Source organism: Homo sapiens, chromosome 11 (genome assembly GCF_000001405.40).
Source record: "Homo sapiens chromosome 11, GRCh38.p14 Primary Assembly".
Taxonomy (NCBI): domain Eukaryota; kingdom Metazoa; phylum Chordata; class Mammalia; order Primates; family Hominidae; genus Homo; species Homo sapiens.
In genome coordinates this window covers 58,651,436-58,674,018 of record NC_000011.10, presented here as the reverse complement: position 1 = coordinate 58,674,018, position 22,583 = coordinate 58,651,436, and the positions used below count along the sequence as shown (strand labels likewise).

Here is a 22,583-nt window from a genome sequence, read left to right as displayed (position 1 = left end):
ATTTTAGTTTCATGAATTTTTTAAATTTTTCTATACAATTTATATATTTTGCAGATATGACAGTTACCTAGGGAATGTGGGAACTTTCTATAATATGCATGTTATATAAAGATTTTCTGGCCAGGTGCAGTGGCTCATGGACGTAATCCCAACACTTTGGGAGGCTAAGGTGGGTGGATCACTTGAGGTCAGGAGTTTGAGACCAGCTGGCCAATGTGGTGAAACCCTGTCTCTACTAAAAAATACAAAATTTAGCTGGGCATGGTGGTGCACTCCTGTGATCCCAGGTACTCAGGAAGCTAAGGCAAGAAAATCGCTTGAACCCGGAAGGTAGAGGTTGCAGTGAGCCAAGATTGTGCCACTGCACTCCAGCCTGGGCAACAGAGCTAGACTCCATCTAAAAAAAAAAAAATCTGTAATTAAAAAGAAATTAGAAACCAAAGCTGAATGAAAATCTTGAAATTATGAAAAAGCAAAATAAAACTACAATGCAATTACCTTTTTTTTCTCTCTTTTTAGATTGGTAAAGTGTGAATACATTTGAGGGCATCTGCTATAAAGGAGAGTATGGAGAAATGGGCACTCCTCTAGGTTATTGCCAGGAATGCATGTTTGTACAGCCTTTGAGGGAAGGCAGTTTTAGAAGCCCTGTTTTCATGGGGAGAACTTTCGCTGAAGAGAAATGAAGCTTTTTAGATCAAGGACATTTCATCTGTGTCCACAGACTGCCTGGGCATTCGTTTAAATTCAAGGGCTCTCTAAAGTTGAAGAGAAGAAAAATCGTATCTTTATTTTTATTAACTTCCAACCATAATTTAGGATTTTCTTCAATTATAAATGTATGTACCAAACTACCAGAGATTTCCATTATCCCTGACTTCATCAAGATGGTAGTGAGAAAATTTCATATCTGATTATAGCTGAGAATAACTGAACTACCATTTACTCTTATAATATTGAAAGTATTTAATTTATGATTGTATAATGAACTCATTAAATATGAGACTTTGCAGCTAGATGCAGCTAGATATGATGTAATTAATTTAAGATATTCAGATAACTATATGTCAATATAATTTTGTTTCCTTCATATTCCTTGTGTTTTATTTCCCCCATTCATGACTCGTGATCCTGAGAATGGGGTAATAGGCCTCCCCAGACTGTCAAGCGGCCCACTGCACAAAAGCATTTAAAAGTTATGCTTTAGATGAAGAGGGGCTCAGTGGGCTACTGATGACCAGAGTTTAATTATACAGAGAAAGTCTAAGGAAGGAAAAATCTTAGCCATGGCGGGAGGTGAAGAGAAGAAAACCCAATGCAATCCTCCCACTAGATTTTTTTGTTTTTTAAGTAATTTGGAAGTCACAAATTTTGTTTTGAATTTAATTAGCACTGTTAGCTTAAAAATCACAAGTTTAGAAACTTAGAAAGGAGAGCTTTATTTCTTAAGGAATTTACAACCTGCAGGCAGGGAGCACAGCCTCTGGCTGAAATACCAAAAGCAAGCACTTCCAGGGAGAGAGGGATAAGACAGGAATCAATGCTGACTGGGTAGGCCGAGTATACATATTCAACAGGATACAGGGGGAGCTATAAATATTAACGAAAGTGAGTTGCATGCATACAAGGTAAGCAAACGTACATGATACATGCATCCCATGTTCACCTCGGGGTGGAGACTTAACATTTAAATCTATTACAATTAGGCCCTATTATTCAGAAGGTGAAGCAGGGACTGGAAGGTGCTAAAATGCACAGCCTCTGCAAGACCAGCCAGAACCAGCCTACGGGGTCAGTGGTGTCTTATCAGAAAAAAGCTATGGAAATCAGTCACTTGTTCAATCAAAGCTGTGGTTATGCAGGGTCAGTTTGTCGGCTTCTGGCATGAAGGAGCTACAATTGTTTCCATATTGCTTATCTTGAGGCCAGTGCTTGTTCAGCTGCTAGAGAAAAGGAAAAACCTTGTGACAGTTAGAACATAGATTTTTGTTTGTTTGGTTTTTTGTTTTTGTTTTGTTTTGTTTTGTTTTGTTTTGTTTTTAAGACGGAGTCTTACTCTGTTGCCCAGGCTGGAGTGCAGTGGCGCAATCTCGGCTCACTGCAACCTCTACGTCCCCAGTTCGAGCAATTCTCCTGCCTCAGCTTCCCAGTAGCTGGGATTACAGGCGCCCGCCACCACAACCAGCTAATTTTTGTATTTTTAGTAGAAACGGGGTTTCACTATGTTGGCCAGACTGGTGTTGAACTCCTGACCTCAGGTGATCTGCCTGCCTCGGCCTCCCAGAGTGCTGGGATTACAGGCATGAGCCACTATGCCTGGCCCATAGTTTATTCTTTAAGTGTAGGAGTGCTTGACTTCACCTTTGCCTGATATGTCCTTAGGTCCTGTTTATAATTTTGTATCTAATTGCCACAAAGAGTTTGTTTTGTCAGTCTTATGATCTCTATTTTAACATAAATGTTGATGGTTATTGTGTCTAAACCAGAAAAGGGAGCCCATAGAATGAGGTGTGCCTGACCTCTTGTCCCTGTCATGGCCAGGAACTCAAGTTTTTTTAAGGTTTCTCTGGGGTCCCCTTGCCAAGAAGGGGTCCATTCAGTTGGGTGGGGGGCTTAGCATTATATTTTTAATTCTTAGCTAATTTTTCAGCAATATGCTTATGGCTGTATTTCTCTAATTAACAAAAGAAAATAAGAGTATCTATGCACACTCCCACATGTAAAATAACAAACCCAGCAAAGTTTAGACCAATTTAATGTCAATCATTTTTTCCAATAACTGCAGTATGAGATTTTTGAACCCAGATTATTCCTGAAATTTTACTTTTACGTATCATTTTTGTCAATAATTACTTTTTGTCTTTCATTCTATTTTATCATATTTGAAACACGAAATTAAGCTTAATTCTCTATTTTATTGGTTTTAATATTTATCTCCTTAATAGTTTACCAACTCTTGATTTCTTTATTTTGATTCACTTCTCATTACACTGGAACATAACATTACTCAATTTTTCAGTTAGGGTGCACGGGTGATACACTTCCTGAATGTATACACCTGTAGGAAAGTCTTTGTGCAGACATCACACACGAACAGCAGCTTGGCTTGTAGCAATATTTTATATTGCATCCTTTTGAGGCAGGAGAATAGGGTCTGGAGGTAGGTAACCTAAGGCCGTTTCACGCTGACTTCCTAGAGCTAAATTGAAAGGAAAATCCTACCTGTCCACACCTAAGAAACAAAAGCACCAGAGGCTACTCCCTTTGCAAACCGCCACATTTTCTGCACTGCAAATTGGAAATTGAAAGTACCTCTGACTGGTTGCAAAAAGCAGAGAGGGGAAGGGGGGTGATATTACTCCCCATATCGCTGGGGGTGTCCAACCCCCCGTGATATGGTTCGTAATATCCAGGGGGTAGAGGGAGGTGATATTACTCCCCATATCGCGGGGGATGTCCACCTGCCTGTGATATGGTTCATAATATCCAGGGGGGACAGGGGGGTGATATTACTCCCCATATCGCGAGCGGTGTCTAACCCCCTGTGATATGGTTCGTAATATCCAGTGGGGGAGAGAGGAGGGTGATACTACTCCCCATATCGTGGGGGATGTCCACCCCCCTGTGATATGATTCATAATATCCAGCAGGGGAGAGGAGGGTGACATTACTCCCCATATTGCGGGCGGTGTCCACCTCCCTGTGATATGGTTCGTAATATCCAAGGGAGATATTACTCCAAATATCACATTGGATATACACCCTGTGATAATATTTGTAATATTTAGGGAGATATTACTTCTAATATCACTGTGGGTGTACACCTTGTGTGTACACACTGTGATATTGTTTGTAATGTACTAGGAAGATATTACTCTTAATATCACTGTGGGTGTACACCCTGTGATATTAGAAGTAATAGTCTAGAGAGATATTACTCCTAATGTCACAGTAAGTGTACACTTTGTGATATTATTCATAATTCCCTAGGGGAATGTTACAGCTAATGTCACAGTGGGTGTACATACTGTGATATTATTTGCAATATCCTAGGGAATGTTACTTCTAATGTCACAGGGGGTGGTCACCCTGTGATATTAGTCGTAATATCCTAGGTGTATGTTACTCCTATCGCAGGGGGTGTACAATCTGTGATATTTGTCATAATATTTTAGGAGGATGTTACTCCTACTGTCACAGGTGGTGTACACCTGTGATCTTTTTTGTAATATGCTGGGGGAATGTTAATCCTAATGTCACTGGGAGTGCACACCTGTGATATTATTCGTAATATCCTAAGGGGATGTTACTCCTAATGTCAAAATGGGTGTACACTCTGTGATATTATTCGTAATATCCTAAAGAGATGTTACTCCTGATTTTACAAGGGGTGTGCACCCTGTGATATTATTCTTAATATCCTAGGGAGATTTTACTCATAATGTCACATGGGGAGTACACCCTGTGATATTATTCATAATATCCTAGGGGGATGTTACTTTTAATGTCACGGTTGGTGTACACCCTGTGATATTATTCATAATATCTTAGGGGGATGTTACTCCTAATGTCACAGTGAATGTACACCCTCTGTAATATTATTCGTAATATCCTGGAAAGATAGTACTCCTAATTTCACAGAGGGTGTACACCCTGTGATATTATTCATAGTATTCTAGGGAGATAATACTTTTAATGTCACAATAGGTGTACACCCTGTGATATTTTTTGTAATATCCCAGGGGGACGTTACTGCTAATATCACAGTGGGTGTACACTCTGTGATATTATTTGTAATATCCTAGGGAGATATGACTCCTAATATTACTGTGGGTTTATGCCCAGTTATATTATTCATAATATACTAGGAAGATGTTACTCCTAATATCACAGTGGGTGTACACCATGAGGGTACACTTTGTGGTATTATTCATGATATCCTAGGTAAATATTTTTTATACTATCACACTGGATGTACACACTGATAATATTCATAATATCCTAGGGAGCTATTACTTCTAATTTTACAGTGTGTGTACAAACACTGTGATATTTTTTGTAATATCTTAGGGAGATATTAATTTCAATATTATAGTAAGTGTACGCCCTGTGATATTATTTGTAATATCTTTGGGAGATAATACTTTTAATGTCATAGTGGGTGTGCACCCTGTGATATTATTCATAATATCCTAGAGCAATGTTACACCTAATGTCCCAGTGGGAGTACACAATGTGACATTATTTGTAATATCCTAGCCTGATGTTACTTTTAATGTCACAGGCTGTGTTCACCCTGTGATATTATTATTATTTTTTTTTAATTTTTGAGACAGTCTTGCTCTGTCGCCCAGGCTGGCGTGATCTCGGCTCACTGCAAGCTCAGCCTCCCGGGTTCACGCCATTCTCCTGCCTCAGCCTCCCGAGTAGCTAGGACTACAGGTGCCCACCACCACGCCCGCCTAATTTTTTGTATTTTAGTAGAGATGGGGTTTCACTGTGTTAGCCAGGATGGTCTCGATATCCTGACCTCGTGATCCACCCGCCTCGGCCTCCCAAAGTGCTGGGATTACAGGCGTGACCCACCGCACCTGGCCCAATATTATTCTTAATATTCTAAGGATATGTTACTCCTAATGTCACAGTGGGTGTACCCCCTGAGATATTATTTGTAATATCCTAGGGAAATATAACTCCTAATATCACAGTGGGTGTACAACATGTGTATACTCCCTTGATAATATTTGTAATATCCAGGGTAAATATTGTCTCTAGTATCACAGAGGGTGTACACCCTGTGATATTTTTTATAATATTTTAGAGAGGTATTGAGACTAATATCACAGTGGGAGTACACCATAGGTGTACACTTTGTGATATTCTTCCTTATATCTTAGGGAGATATTACTCCTAATATCACAGTGGGGGTATATCCTGTGATATTATAAGTAATGTCCTAGGAAGGTATTACTCCTAATATCCCAGTGGGTGTACATCCTTTGATATTATTCCTAATATCCTAGGGGGATGTTAATCCTAATGTCACAGGGGGTGTACACCCTGTTACATTATTCATAATATTCTAGGGGGATGTCACTTTTAAAGTCACACGGGGTGTGATACATCCCCCTAGGATATTACAAATAATATCACAGTGGGGGTGTACCCTGTGATATTATTCGTAATATCCTAGGGAGATGTTACTCCTAATGTCACAGAGGTGTTCTCCCTGTAATTTTTTTGTAATATACTAGGAAGATGTTACTCCTAATGTCAAAGGGGGTGTGCACAATATACTAGTGGGCTATTACTACTAATGTCACAATGCGTGTACACCTTGTGATATTATTCGTAATATCCTAAGGGGATGTTGCTCCTATTGTCACAGGGGGTTTACTCTCTGTGATATGATTCACAATATCCTAGGGGTATGCTACTCCTACCTCACAAAGTGTGTACACTTTGTTATATTATTCACAATATCCTAGAAAGATGTTACTCCTCGTGTCACAGGGGGTGTACACCCTGTGATATTATTTGTAATATTCTAGGAAGATGTTACTCCTAACGTCACAGAGAGTGTACACCCTGTGAATTTATTCATCATAGCTTTGGGGGATGTTACTCCTAATGTCACACATGTTGTACAAACAGTGATATTATTCATCATATTTTATGGAACTGTTACTCCTAATACCACAGGGGCTGTACACCCTGTAATATTATTTGTAATATCCTAAAGAAATGTTACCACTGATATCACAGGGGGTGTACACCATGTGATATTATTTCCAATATTGTAGAGGGATGTTACTCCTAGTGTCACTCTGTGATATTGTAGCTTATATCTTAAGGAGATATTACTCCTAATATCACAGTGTTTGTACCCCCTGTGATATTATTCATAATATCCTAGAAATATGATACTCTTAATATTACAGAGGATGTATACCCAGTGATATTATTAGTAATACCCTAGGGGGATGTTACTCCTACTGTCACAGGGGTGTACACCCTGTGATATTGTACATGTCACACATGTTGTACAAACAGTGATATTATTCATAATATTTTATGGAAATGCTACTCCTAATATCCTAAAGAAATGTTATCACTAATGTCACAGGGGTTGTACAACCTGTGATATTATTCCCAATATTGTTACTCCTAATGTCACAGGTATACACACTGTGATAATATTGGTAATATCCTAAATGGATGTTACTTCTAATGTCACAGTGTGTGTACATCCTCTGATATTATTCGTCATATCCTGGGGGAATGTTACTCCTAATGTCACACAGGGTGTTCTCCCTTGATATTATTCATAATATTTTAGGCAGATGTTACTCCTCATGTCACAGGCAATGTACGCCCTGTGATATTATTTGGAATATCCTAGGGGACATTACTCCAAATGTCACAGGAGGTGTACACTCTGTGATATTACTCATAATATTTCAGGAAAATGTTACTCCTAATGTCACCGGGCATGTACACCATGTGCGTACACCCCCTGTGATATTTCTTGTAATATTCTACCCAGATGTTAATCCTAATATTACTATGCTGTTCACCATGTGTGCACATCCCAGGGCTATAATTTGTAATATCCTAGAAGGATGTTACTCCTAACATCACAAGGGGTATACACCATGTGTGTACACACCCTGTGATATTATTCATAATATCTTAGGGAGATTCTACTCCTAATTTTACAGGGTGTATACACCTTAAAGTCATATTTTTGAACTCCACACTTTTAAAGTCACATATTATTCCTAATATCTTAGAGGGATGTTGCTCCCAATGTCACATGGAGTGTACACCATGTGTGTACACCTTCTGTGATATTATTCCTATATCCCAGAAAAATATTATGTCTAATGTAACAGGAAGTGTACACCATGTGCATAAACCACATTTGATATTATTCATAATATACTAGGGGGATATTACTTTTAATGTCACAAAGGGTGTACAAAATGTCACAGGGGGTGTATGCCTTGTGGTATTATTCGTAATATTCAGAAAGATGTTACTCCTAAGGTCACAGGGGTTGTACACTCTTCGATATTATTTGTAATCTTATAGGGAGATATTACTTTAAATATCACAGTGGGTGTACACACATGATGTACACCCACGGTGATATTATTTGTAATATCTTAGAGAGATATAACTTCTAATATCACAGTGGGTGTACCCCATGTGTGTACACCCTGTGATATTATTTGTAATAACCTAGCTTCGAAGATATGACTCCTAATATTACAGTGGGTGTACACTCTATGATATTATTCATAATGTCCTAGGAAGATGTTACTCCTAATATCACAGTAATAATTCGTAATATCACAGAGAGAGATTTCTCCTAATATCACAGTGGGTGTACACTCTGTGATACTACTCATAATATCCTAGAGGGATATTGCTCCCAATATCACAGTGGGTGTATACCCTGTGATAATATTGTCCTAATAACCCATAATACCCTAGGGAGATATTACTCCTAATATATGGTGAGTGTACACCATGTGTGAACACCCTGTGATGTTATTCGTAATATTCTAGGGAGATATTACTCCTAATGTCATAGTGGGTGCACACCACGTGTGTATATTCTGTAATGCTATTCATAATATCTTAGAAAGTTACTATTCCTAATGTCACAGTGGGTGTATACCATGTGTGTACACTCTGTGATGTTATTCATAATATCCTAGGGAGATATTTCTCCTAATATCACAGTGGGTGTACATTGTATGTGTACACCCTGTCCTATTATTCGTTATATCCTAGATAGATATTACTCCTAATATCACAGTGAGTACACACCATGGGTGTACATTCTGTGATGTTATTCGTAATATCCTAAGGAGATATTACTCCTAATGTCATAGTGGGTGTACAGCCTGTGATATTATTCATAATATCCTAGGGAGGTATTACTCCTATTATCACAGTGGGTGTACTCCCTATGATATTATTTGTAATATCCTAGGGAGATATTACTCCTAATATCAGAGTGGGTGTATAGCCTGTAATATCATTTTTAATATTCTAAGGAGATATTACTGTATAACCTGTGATATTATTTGTAACATTTTAGGGACATATTTTTCCTAAAGTCACAGTGGGTGTACACCCTGCAATATTCTTCCTAATATCACAGTGGGTGTACACCATGTGTGATATTGTTCCTAACATCCAGGAGGGGAGAGGATGATATTACTTCCAATAGCACAGAAGGTGCACACCCTCCCCATGATATTGTTCCTAATTTCCAGGGAAGATGATGACATTATTCCCAATATCACTGGGGGTGTACACCCTCCCCATGGTATTGTTCCTAATTTCCAGGGAAGATGATGACATTATTCCCAATATCACTGGGGATGTACACCCTTCCTGTGATATTCTTCTTAATATCCAGGGGTGAAGAGAATGATATTATTCCCAATATCACAGGGGGTGTACACCCCCTCCTGTGATATTGTTGCTAATATTCTGGGGGGTAGAGAATGATATTACTCCCAGTATCGCAGGGGGTGTTCACCCCCCCCATGGTATTGTTTCTAATATCCGGGCAAGAAGAGTATGATATTACTCCCAATATCACGGGGGGTGTACATCTTTTTGTGATATTGTTTCTAATATCCAGGGAAATAGTGGATGATATTACCCCCAATATCGCAGAAAGTGGACACCCCCCTGGGATATTGTTCCTAATATCCAAACGGGGAGAGGATGATATTACTCCCAATATCGGAGGAAATGTAAACCACCCCTGTGATATTGTTCCTAATATCCAGAGAGGAAAAGAATGATATTACTCCCAACAGCATAGGAAATGTACACCCACGCTATGATATTTTTCCTAATATCCAGGGGGAGAGAGGATCTTATTACTTCCAATATCGCAGGGTGTGTACACCCCCTCTGTGATCTTGTTGCTAATATCCAGGTTGGGGGAGGATGATATTGCTCCCATAATCACAGGGGTGTGCACCAGCCCTGTGATCTTGTTCGTAATTCCCTGGGTTGAGAGGATGATATTACTCCCAATATCACAGAAATGTATATCCCCTGTGATATTTTTCCTAATATTCAGGGCGGGAGAGGATAATATTACTCCCAATATCGCAGAAGGTATGCATCCCTCCTGTGATATTGTTAATATTATCCAGGGAAGAAGAGGATGATACTACTCCCTATATCACAGGAAGAGTACGTCCCTTCTGTGATATTGTTCCTAATATCGCAGGGGTTGTACACACCCCTTGCGATATTGTTGCTCATATCAAGGAGAAAAGAGAATAATATTACTTCCAATATCGCTGGTGGTATATACCCCACCTGTGATATTGATCCTAATATCCAAAGGGAGAGAGGATAATATGACTCCCTATATATGACAGCAAGTGTACACCCACCCTGTGATCTTGTTCCTAAATTCCAGAGAAGAAGAAGATGATATTACTCACAATATCGCAGGGAGTGTACGCCCTTTCTGTGATTTAGTTCCTAATACGCTGGTGCGAGGGAATGATATCACTTTCAATACGGCAGAGGGTGTACACACTTCCTGTGATATTGTTTCTAATATCCATTGCAAGAGAGGATGATATTACTCCCAATATCGCTGGCGGATACACCCCCTCTGTGATATTGATTCTAATATCCAAAGGGGAAGGGGCTGATATTACTCCCAAGGTCGCAGAAAGTGTACACCTACCCTGTGATATTGTTCCTAATATCCAGGGGGAGAGTTGAAGATATTACTCCCAATATCACAGCAGGTGTACAAACCCCTGTGATTTTGTTCCTAATATTAAAGGAGGGGTAGGATGATATTACTCCCAATATCTCAGCGGGTATACACCACCTTTGTGATATTGTTCCTAATATCCAGAGGACAAGAACATGATATTACTCTCAATATCGCAAAAAGTGTACACCCACCCTGTGATATTGTTCGTAATATCCTGGGCAGGGGAGAGAATGATATAACTCCCAATATCACAGGGGGTGAACATTCACCCTGTGATATTGTTCCTAATATACAGGGTGGGGAAGAATGATATCACTCCCAATATTCCATGGAATGTACAAGTCCCCTGTGATATAGTTTCTCATGTCCATGGGGCGAGGGATGATATTACTCCAAATATGGCAGGGGTTGTACACACCCTCTGTGTTATTGTTTGCTAATATCAAGGAAAAAAGAGAATAATATTACTTCCAATATCACTGGTGGTGTATACCCCACCTGTGATGTTGATCCTAATATCCAAAGCTGGAGAAGATAATATGACCTTCAATACTGCATGTGTTGTACACCCCTCCGTGATATTGTTCTTAATATCCAAATGGGGAGAGGATGATATTACTTCAAATATCGCAGGGATTGTACACACCCCCTGTGATATTGTTGCTAACATCCAGGAGGGGAGAAAATAATATTACTTCCAATATTGCAGGTGGTGTATACCCAACCTGTAATATTGTACCTAATATCCAAAGAGGGAGGGGATGATATTACTCCCAATATCAAAGGGTGTGTACACCACCCCCTGTGATATTGTTTTTAATATTCTGGGGGTAAGAGGATGATATTAGTCCCGAAATTGCAGAGGGTGTACACCACCCTTGTGATATTGTTCCTAATATCCAGGGGGGAGAGGATGATATTACTCCCGATATCGCAGAAGTTGTACACCCCCTGTGATATTTTTCGTAATATTCAGGGAGGGAGAGGATGACATTACATTCAATATCGCGAGGGGTGTACACCCCCACTATTATATTGTTACTAATATCCAAGAAGGGAGAGGATGGTATTACTCCCAATATCGCAATGGGTGTACATTACCCCTGTGGTATTGTTTCTAATATCCAGGGGGGGAGACAATAATACTACCTTCAATATCGCAGGAAATGTACATCCGCCTGTGATATTGTTGCTAATATCCAGGGGTAGAGAGAATGATATTACTCCCAATATCGTAAAAGTGTACGCCTCCCCTGTGATATTGTTCTTAATATCCGGGAAATGAGTATGATATTTCTTCCAATATCAAAGGGAGAGTACACGCCCCTGTGATATTGTTCCCAGTATCCAGTGGGGGAGAGGATGATATTACTCCCGATATGGCAGGAGGTGTACACTCTTCTGTCATATTGATCATAATTTTCAACAGGAAAGATAATATTACTCGAAATATCGTGAATACCCAGTGTGTCCACCCCCCTGTGATATCGTTCGTGATATCCGGGGGTGGGAGAGGGGTTGATATTACTCCCCATATCACGGGGAGTGTCCACTGTCCTGTGATATGGTTCATAATATCCATTCGTAATACTGCAGTGCTTTCTGCAACCAATCAGATGTTTGCATAGGAGTGTGATCTTTGTAACTTTACTTCAATGTGTGATTGGTTGCTTTCCACAACCAATTAGCCTGATTCCAGGCCACCACTTCATTTACATGAGGTGAGCACCAAGTGGCCAATGGGAGACCTCTAGGGGGTATTTGAACCCAAGAAGATTCTGTATCCCGGGCACTTGAGCTGCTCCTTGGGCCCTTTCCCACACTGTGGAGAGTACTTTCATTTTCAATAAATTCCTGCTTTTGTTCTTTCATTGCTTCATTCTTTCCTTACTTTGCTGTGTGTTTTGTCCAATTCTTTGTTCAAAACACCAAGAACCTGGACAACTTGCAGTCAGGACCCTTTATTGGTAACACTTTCCCCTCAAAATGTTGCAGATAGCTTCCTTCACTTCTAATGGTGCCGAGGAAGAAACATCCAAAGACGCCTGATGCTTTTGCCCTTTTGTAGCTAATCTGCCTGGATACTTTGAGAATAGTTTTATCCTTAAAACTCAAAATGTCCAGTAGGAAATAACTAGATGTCGGTCACTTTTGTTAATTTTGCCAGTTATACAGAAGGATGTCTCTGCTTGCACACCTGTATCCTTCGGTCAATCTTCTTTCAAAGCATCAGTTATTCTTCTTCTTATTTTTTTTTTTTTTTTGTCTGAGATGGAGTCTCGCTCTGTCGCCCAGACTGGAGTGCAGTGGCACGATCTCAGCTTACTGCAAACTCCGCCCCCTGGGTTCACGCCATTCTCCTGCCTCAGCCTCCCGAGTAGCTGGGAATACAGGCGCCCGCCACTATGCCCGGCTAATTTTCTGTATATTTAGTAGAGAGGGGGTTTCACCGTGTTAGCCAGGATGGTCTGGATCTCCTGACCTCGTGATCCACCCGCCTCGGCCTCCCAAAGTGCTGGGATTACAGGCGTGAGCCACCGCGCCCAGCCCAAAGCATCAATTACTCTTAAGTTAAATATCTGCCCTTGGTCTGCTAAACCTATCTTTTTATGCTTCACACACATTCTTCAGGCATAAGTTTCAGTTTGTTTATAAAATATTCAATCTGAAATTAAACAAAGGTGATCAGGAGAGACTCCCCTACTCCTTGTCGGCCTCCTTATGTGATAACAAGATGTCATTGAGATGGATCTGAATGTCCGATGAATGACCTGATTAAATGTCAGGCCAAAGGTGGAATGAGGATTCAAGTCACATTCCTTGCCTGGTTAGAATCTGACCCTCTCGCATTCTTCTCTTCCACTGTCATCTATACTTTATCTAAGGGCTGGACTCTGTTTTCAATCTTTGCCCAGTTGAGGACAAAGATCCCAATCTACTTCTTAGTCTAGTTCCCTCTAATTGCTCAGCTACTCCTTATATATGGCTGATTCTCCAGTTGAGCCATCCCCTCTGCAGACTTGGTTCAGAAGTGCTGCAGATTCTCCTGCTGTAAGTGCCCCAGCAGCCTCACTGTGCAGTGGGTGGGACCTACTCTATAGATGCTGCTGGGGAAGCTATAGCTGATTCTGCCCCGTAGAACTCCCTGCAGGAAAATACATATAATCAGAGCATGAGATGAAGAGCCTGGCAAACCACAGGGTATTTCACAGCTCTCTGCCAAGCCCTGCTTCAGGAAGAAAGACAGCTTGTTGCTTCAGCAGGAAACCTTACTCTAAGGAATTTCTCAGTAAACGCCTTACAGACTTCAAGTCTGATTAATAATTGGCTGCAATTTCTTTTTTTCTTTCAATCATTTTTGGGTGATTTTAACCTTAGTGGCCTTACACTTTTGCCTTTTCATTTTATATATTTTACTTTCATCTTAAACACACCTGGGAGCAAGCATAACTCAGCAGGCCTGGGCTGCTCAAATCCTGCATTTTTCTAAGAAAAGACTGGCCTGTGATAAACAACTCTCGTAAATAACCTGTGAGCCTTTGGAATACACCTGTTTTCATTCCATTCACCTGGGGCCTTGGGCCTCACTGTATTCAATTTGACCTCTGGGGTGGGGTATAGGGCTGGTGACTAAGTAGCTAAGGTCAATATATGACTCCATGCCTCGATGAGTCACCCCCAATAAAAACTAGACACCAAGTCTCAGGTGAGCTTTCCTTATGAGGAATAATAACTATTATTATGAATAAATATTCTTTTTATTTTCCTGATGTTATGTTTTTTCAAACAATCTTATTTTTAGTGAATTACTTTTAAACTTTGCTCTTATGAAAATTGTTTTTCTCCTCTTGTGTTCAGATGCTTCTGCTTTGAATATCATCTATTTAATCTATTCTCTTTTTTGCACCAGTTCCTAGTTTTAATCCTGCCGTACCTTGTATAACTAGTCTCTTGTGTTCTCTTGTTTGTTGATCCTTTTATTCCTTTTTGTTACTAACATCTATGATGGTTGGCAGAATATAAATGTAAAGAAGTGTGAAGAGTAGAGAATTTACAGAAATGTTGGAGAGACAAAGAGAAGGAAGGATGCTTGCTTATACCCCACTATCTCTGAGTGTAGATGTCTACACCAAATTTCACAGCCTATTTAAACACAGGTTATCAAAGAACCCCCATTTCAGGAGACAGAAGATGAGAGCATCATTAGCCTACTCCTGACTTCCTGCTCACAGTACGTTTGATCATGCAATCCAGACAGCATATTTGGTCACCTGGGAAAAAGATGCCTGCAATGCTTTTTCTAATAATTCATACTGTCTGGTGCTTGTCCAGTGGCTGGATTTCAGGCAAAAGATGACAAAACGCAATGCTACCAACCACAAGGGGCAACACAGGGTGGAGTTACATATACCAAGCCTGACCCTGCATGAGATTAACCTCCTGAGAGGCAGGCCTGAAGGATTATCCCAGAGCATATTCTGTGGCTAGGCACATGACATCGTACTCCAGCTCATTTTCAACATGTCATGGCAAGTTTCTTGCACTCTGGTAGGGTCAGAGGTGGATGCTCTGGGAGATGGCTCTGATGAGCTACCCTCTCTCCTCCTGCACCTGCAGAGTAATTGTGAACAGCAAGAGGGTTTATGTGCAGTTTGCAGCTCTTCAAGCCTTCAGGTCCTCTACCAGGCAACTGAGACCTGAGAAGAAAGGCAAATCACATGGTAAACAAACAAGCTGGCTCCCTATGTTAAGATAATAGGCCATGGCTCCCCTTTCCATCCCAAAGGGACACATCAGAAGCTGAACTCCCAAGACAGTTTGCCAGCCTGCCCAAGTGAAGAGTGTGCTTGACAGGCATACTATCAAATTTCATGTATCGGCACATTTGTCAAGACACTGTTGTAAGACCCCCTCCTCCCAAATATCACGCGTAGGCTTCTGTGAGGCTCTTACAGAGAGGGAAATCTCTTCTATTTAAGTTTATTTGCTCCACTACCAAATAGCCTGACAAGATTACATATCTGCTGTCACAAAATGAGATCCACAACTGCCCATTGCGGATTGGAAGCCACCAAGAGGTAAATCAATATTTAGGAACAATCTATCCTTGCCATAGTGTATGGCCATAATTCAGTCTATCTCTTCTGAGTTCTTTAAACACTATGTGCCCAAAGTGTTTCTTGCTCTTTCTGGGTCTCCTCTTGGACAAGAATCCAGCTGTGCTGCTCATTATCCCACTTTCACGTACTGCCGACTCTGGAGAAGACCCAGGAGTTGAACACCTTTTTGAGTCTACCCGGAGTATAATCTGAAGCTACCATGAATGTGTGTGTGCAAGGGGGGCCTGTATTTCTGGATACTTTCAGCTTGATTTCAATTTGCAGATTTAAGAGGCTCCCAAAACTCGTGTATGATATTGAAACAACTTTGAATATTGGACTACAGGCCCAGGTCCACCATTGATTAATAATCCTAAACAATAACTCTGCCCAACGCTTTTCCCCTGGGTATTTTTTAGTAACTCTCACTTAGGTTCCTTGGGTCTCTGTTTCATCATTCATGAACTGATTGTTGCTTTGAAGTTTAAATAATCCAATGTGGGTAAAAGCACTTTGCAACCTGTCAAGGGTTTCTGAAGCTTAAGTTGTTGTTTCTCATGCCCAATGGAACCTACCTCCACATTTGAGGATAAAAACACTAGACTCAGTTCATGCCATTAAATTTGGTGATGATTTCTTGGAAATGATAGTTGAAGCACAGGCAACATCAACAACAAAACAAAACAAATTGGACTATATCAAAAATTTTAAGTTCTATGCATCAACAGACACAATCGATAGTGAAAAGACAACCCACAAAATGGGAGAAAATATTTTCAAATCACGTATCTAATAATGGGTTAATATTCAGAATATTTAAACGCTTACTACCAAAAAACAAAACAACCTGACTTTAAAAATAGACAAAGAACCCATTTTTTTATGTACTTATTGGTTATTTGTATATCTTCTTTGTTCTCAAACGACCAATAAGCACACGAAAAGATGCTTAACATCACTAATCATCAGGGAAATGCAGATCAAAACTACAATGAGATACCATCTCACACCCAATAAGATGGTTACTATTGAAAAACAAAACAACAGAAAAGAAGTATTGGTGAGAATGTAGAGAAATGGAAACCCTTGTGCACTGTTAATGGGAATGTGAAATGATGCAGCCACTAAGGAAAACAGTACAGAGGCTCCTCAAGAAATTAAAAATAGAACTACCACATGGCCCAGCAACTCCACTTCTGGGTATAAACCCCCAAGAATAAAAAGCAGAGTATCAAGAAGATACTTATACACTCATATTCATGGCAGCATTATTCTCAGTAGCCAAAACTGGAAGCAATCCAAGTGTCCATAGATGGATGAATGGCTAAACAAAATGTAGTATCTACATACAAAAATGATTTAGCCTTGAAATGGAAGCAAATTCTGACCTATGCTTCAGCATGGATGAACCTTGAGGCCACTATGCTAACTGAAATAAGTCAATCACAAAAAGACAAGTACTGTGTGATTCCACTTATATGAGCTACCTAGAGTAGTCAAATCCATAGGGACAGAAAGTAGAATATTTGTTGCCGGGGGCTGGAGGGAGGGAATGCGGTGTTGTTGCTTAACAGGTATGGAATTTCAGTTTTGCAAAATGGAAAGTGCTCTGGAGATTGCACAACAATGTGAACATGCTTAACACTATAGCAAGGTACCCTTAAAACTGGTTAAGATGCTAACTTCTCTGTGTTTTTTAACCACAATTAAATGCTTTTCAAAATATCAGAATATGGCAGCTGAAACAAACAATACTTTGTGCAATGTATCTATTTGCCTACCAAAGATAGAGAAGAAAAAAGGCCAGGTGCTGTGGCTCACACCTGTAATCCCAGCACTTTGGGAGGCCAAGGCAGGGGGATCACTTGAGGTCAGGAGTTCGAGACCAGCCTGTCCAACATGGTGAAACCCTGTCTCTACTAAAAATACAAAAATTAGCCAGACATGGTGGCGGGAGGTAATCCTAGCTACTAGGGAGGCTGAAGCAAGAGAATCACTTGAACCCAGGAAGTGGAGGTTGCAGTGAGCCAAGATTGTGCCACTGCAATCCAGCCAGGGCAATAGAGTGAGACTCAGTCTCTAAATAAATAAATAAATAAATAGCACTGAATTAGAGTTTCCAAACCTACCTTGCTTTGCCACTAACTTGGGGCAGAAACAATAATAATTGCTGGCATTTATGGTACACTTACCATGTGCCAGATATCATTTTAAATGTTTTATCTCATTTAATGCTTACAACAGGAAGTACTATCACGTTCCCATTTTAAAGATTAGGGAATTGAAGCAAAATAAAATTAAACAAGCTGCCCAAGGACTTATGGTTAATAAGTGAGTAGCAAAGCCAGGATTCAAACCCCACAGTCTGACTCCAGGGCTGCACTTGTAACCATTGTGCTACCTGCAGAATGGCCAGGAGCGCAGGTCCCACATGGCAATGAACCACTTCCTGTACCACCCACTTCCAAATCCAGTAGCTTCTTCATCCTAGACCTAAAGAAAGTCAAGTTCAGCTATAAACAATACAATCATTTCTTTTAAAACATCACATTCTCTCCAACATACGAAACATCTTAGGATGTATGTTTTCCTTTCACCAATCTTTTCCCTCCACACCCCTTTCTCAGCTCTTTAATCATCTTAGATTGTAAATGTGAAGCATGAGAGTAGAGAACATGAGGGCTGAAGTGGCACCAGTCTGGATGGGACCCCAACTCTATGACTTACTAGCAAGTTACTTATTGCCTCTCAGCCTCAGTTTCATCAACTCTAAAATGAGAATAGGACCTGCATCAACAGGTGGTTTTAAAGATTAAACTGTATAATATCTTAAATGTCTAGCACAGTATTTGACATAGAATGGGCTGTTTGAAGTATAATAACAATTATTGTATAGCAATAATTGGTTGAATATTACTCAACAACTTGAAGCTCTGTCAGGTGAAAATAAAAGGTAGAATTGTTCACTATGGCCAAAACTGAGAATGAAACATGAGATCACCAGGGAGATCCATTTCTACTAAGCAGAAAGCAAACCTTTCTATTAGTCAGAGAAGATCAAGGGCAGACTGGGTTGCCTTTGAAGGTGGTGAGTTCTCTGTAACTATAGCTGTTCAAGCAGATACCACTTAGTGAACATGCTGTATACAGACCCCAACCCTGCCATCCCTGAGAGCCTATGAATTTATGTCAAGATTTATCCGCACCCATACAATGATCTGGTGCCCTCTCCCAGTGTTCTGACTTTCCCTATTCGAGCTGCTATAGGTTTCTCTTCCACATAAACCAGAGGAAGCATTCTAGCTCCAGGTGCTGGTGGACAGGTTGCTTAATTTTAACACAACTGTCATCTGGCCACAAGAATGTGTGGAAGTGACTGCTCTCTTTTGGGACCTGAGTTCATTCCCCAGTGATATTTATGCCAAAATAGAGGAACAGGTTTTCTGTCCACGTAGGTTCTCCAGTGTTCAAAGTCCAACACTTTTTTTTCCCCAACCCCTCCAGAAGACGACAGATGACTTTGATCACGACACCAACACTTACCTGGGTAAGAACCCAGAGGATTTACAGGGCCCATCAACCAGAAGCAGCATTTTCAGATTCAAGGTGAGGTCACATTTAGGACCATTCGTGGAAAGGAGGTGGATCCGCTAGGAGCACAGTTCCTTGGTAACCAAGGGAGAGGAGTGACATTCTGCTTGTAGTCTGGCTTATGAATAATTCCTTTGCTAGAACATTTTGCTATCTCTCTTAGTCTGTGTAAGTTCTGTTCATTCTTCAAGTTTTAGCTGCAAGATCTTTCTAAGAAAGACCCCTTCAGTCCCCTAGAGGAAGCATGGGGAGAGTACAGACTTGGCCCAAGTGCCATCCCACGTGGGCAGCCCCTGGGCGCTGCCAGCAAATTACACTCCTCACAGCGTTTCTCACTTGCAGGGAGATGTGTGCCTCTGCATCTGCACCGCCCTCTGCTGGTCGGTGATGCTGACACAGCGAGGAGTTCCAGGCTTCCAGAATAAAATCAACTGCTCATCACTAAAGAAGACTTGTATTTTATTGGCTTTTAAAACAGGCAGAAAGTATGGTCATGGGTAACAATTTAGTGAAAAGCCTGCACTATAAACCAAGAAGTTCGAATGTCATGTCCTCTGTATCAGTCCATTCTCACACTGCTATAAAGATACTACATGAGACCAGGTAATTGATGAAGAAAAGAGATTTAATTGACTCACACTTCTGCATGGCTGAGGAGGCCTCAGGAAACTTACACTCATGGCGAAAGGTAAAGGGGAAGCAAGGCACATCTTACATGGTGTCGGGAGAGAGACAGAAGAGTGTGGGGGAAACTGCTAAACACTTTTTAGAACCACCAGATGTAAGAATTCACTCACTATCATGAGAACAGCATGGGGGAAACCGCCCCCATAGTCCAATCACTTCCCACTAGGTGCCTCCCTCAACACCTGAGGATTACAATTTGAGATGAGATTTGGGTGGGGACACAGAGCCAAACCATATCATCTCCCTCCACGTTTTTCTTTATACATGCTCTTGGGGTTATACCTCTATATTTCCTTAATATGGTAGTTATCCCTGTCTCTAGTAGATAAGCTGTAAACTGGCTAACTTTCAAAATCAAAAGCTATGATCCCCTCTCTGGATAGTAGTTTTATCTCTGTAGGAAGCACATTTGATCTGCTGGGGGTAATTGTATACCACAAATTTTTCTACCCCTTAACAGTTTTTCCTAAATTGCTGGTCTCACCTAAAAAGGCCCACTGATTATAAAACATGCTGAATTTATGAAATACACTTTAGGGAGGCAAAGACAAGTTGGAAGGCTCCACTCAGGAAGCTAAATATCTTCTGTTTGACTACACTATGGAACTATGTGATTCCCACTTCCAGCTGTGGAATGGGACAGTAGTGGGATAGTGACACGCCTACTAAAGGAGTGGCTTTTGAGAAAGGCCTTGAAAGTGGTGTTTGGTTTTCTATTGCTACATAACAAACCACCACAAAACCGGGTGGTCTAAAACAACAGTCCTTTTTCCCTCACTATTCTGTGGTTTCAATGGGCTCAGCAGGACACCACTTGTGTTCCCTGGTATGCTGGCCAGGAGCTCAGTTAGGCCTGACTGTCCAACATGGTTCAGCTACATATCTAGCACTTACATGAAAATAGCATAAAGGCTGAGCCAGGATGCTGACAGAGCTAGAATAGCTGGTTGGCTTGGGTTCCTAGATATGAAAGCACCCAGGCCTTCTAGGTGTAGGGACAGCTTCATGTCTGCAATATTTAATTAAAGTGAGTCACAGGGCCAGCACAGATTCACTGTAGAACAGGACTTCCAAGTGGGATGAATCCTGGGGTGGGTGGTTAATTTGGAACTGCCTTTGGAGACCAGTTACAACACAGGTAAGAAAAAGATGCTGAGATGTAGGAGGATTAGCACAGCCTAAAGCATGAATAAAAGCATGAAGCTGATAAAATACAAGAATACAGGCTAGTGAAAAGTGTAGAGTTTGTAACTTCTGGTTCCAAAATGGTGGCATAGAAGCAAGTTAGTTTTACCTCCCATTGTCCTAGAAAACCAGAAAAAAAAATACAGCACCAAGATTATCACCAGTAATGTCCCAGAACTCAAATATGAGGAGAAGATAGTTCCCAGAGCCACAGAGAGATGCTCAGAAAAAGCTCTGAGCAGACAGTAAGAGAATCAGATATCCATATCAGCAATGTTGCTCCCTGAAATCTGCTCAACACCAAGTATGTGAAAAGTTTCTCCTCAAATCACAGTTTCTGCACTGTAAAAGTGAGATCAAGGTTGACAAACAGCTTCCCCATCATCTTGGGTTTCCTGATAGGAAACAGGTCTCTGCCTCAACCCAAGAGAATCATTGGAAATGCCTAAAGGAAAACATATCTCAGAGGACAGCCAGAGACAAATGGGGGAGGTGAGACTATCATCTCCGGCCCTGGAAACTCTGTTCTGTAAGTCAGCCAAAGGAGATGCCAAATCAGAGTGGCTGCTCAGCAGCACCATGCTATAGGAGGTTTGTTCCACAGGTCTTCTGGGCACAAACGCCTATCTGGCCTTCCCCCATTATCCCCTTTGAGGCCACCGCATTCCAGACAGGAGGCACTCTGATTGTTTAGAGGCAGACCTAGGCTTAAGCTGTCATCTAGAGCTGAAAAGGAGACAACAACCTAGCAGAAAAGAAAGAAAGAGAGAGAAAGAAAACAAAAGAATGAAAGAAAGAAGAAAAGAAAAGACAATCAACAGGTAAATTACAAAGAATCTCTAAACATACATATATAGTAAAAGACAAAACAAGCCAAACAGAGAAGACTGAAATAAATAAATAATCTTTTAATGCAAAGACATAGATATACATCCACAAGAAACAACATCTAACAGAACTATGACCTCCCCAAACAGACAAAGCAAAACACAAGTGACTAACCCTAATGAGATGAGGATATGTGAACTCTGATGAACAATTCAAAATAGCAGTTTCAAGGAAACTCAGAGATCTCCAAGATAACACAAAAAATAATTTAGAAATTTATCAGAGAAATTTAACAAGATCAAAATAATTTTAAAAGACCAAATCTAAGAATTATTGGAGTTTAAAAGGGAATTCAATAAGAGGTAGAAAGCATATTCAAAGAAATAATAACAAAAAGATGATGTTCTAAAACTTAAAAA

General features: G+C 40.5%; 2 annotated features.

The window, feature by feature from the left end:
- Positions 20,633-21,187: an enhancer, noted in NCBI's record as "NANOG hESC enhancer chr11:58420305-58420859 (GRCh37/hg19 assembly coordinates)". NCBI's record gives its function as "activates a minimal SCP1, AML or CMV promoter by ChIP-STARR-seq in primed H9 embryonic stem cells {active_cell/tissue: H9 hESC(primed)}" and the evidence as "EXISTENCE:reporter gene assay evidence [ECO:0000049][PMID:30033119]".
- Positions 21,819-22,320: an enhancer, noted in NCBI's record as "NANOG hESC enhancer chr11:58419172-58419673 (GRCh37/hg19 assembly coordinates)". NCBI's record gives its function as "activates a minimal SCP1, AML or CMV promoter by ChIP-STARR-seq in primed H9 embryonic stem cells {active_cell/tissue: H9 hESC(primed)}" and the evidence as "EXISTENCE:reporter gene assay evidence [ECO:0000049][PMID:30033119]".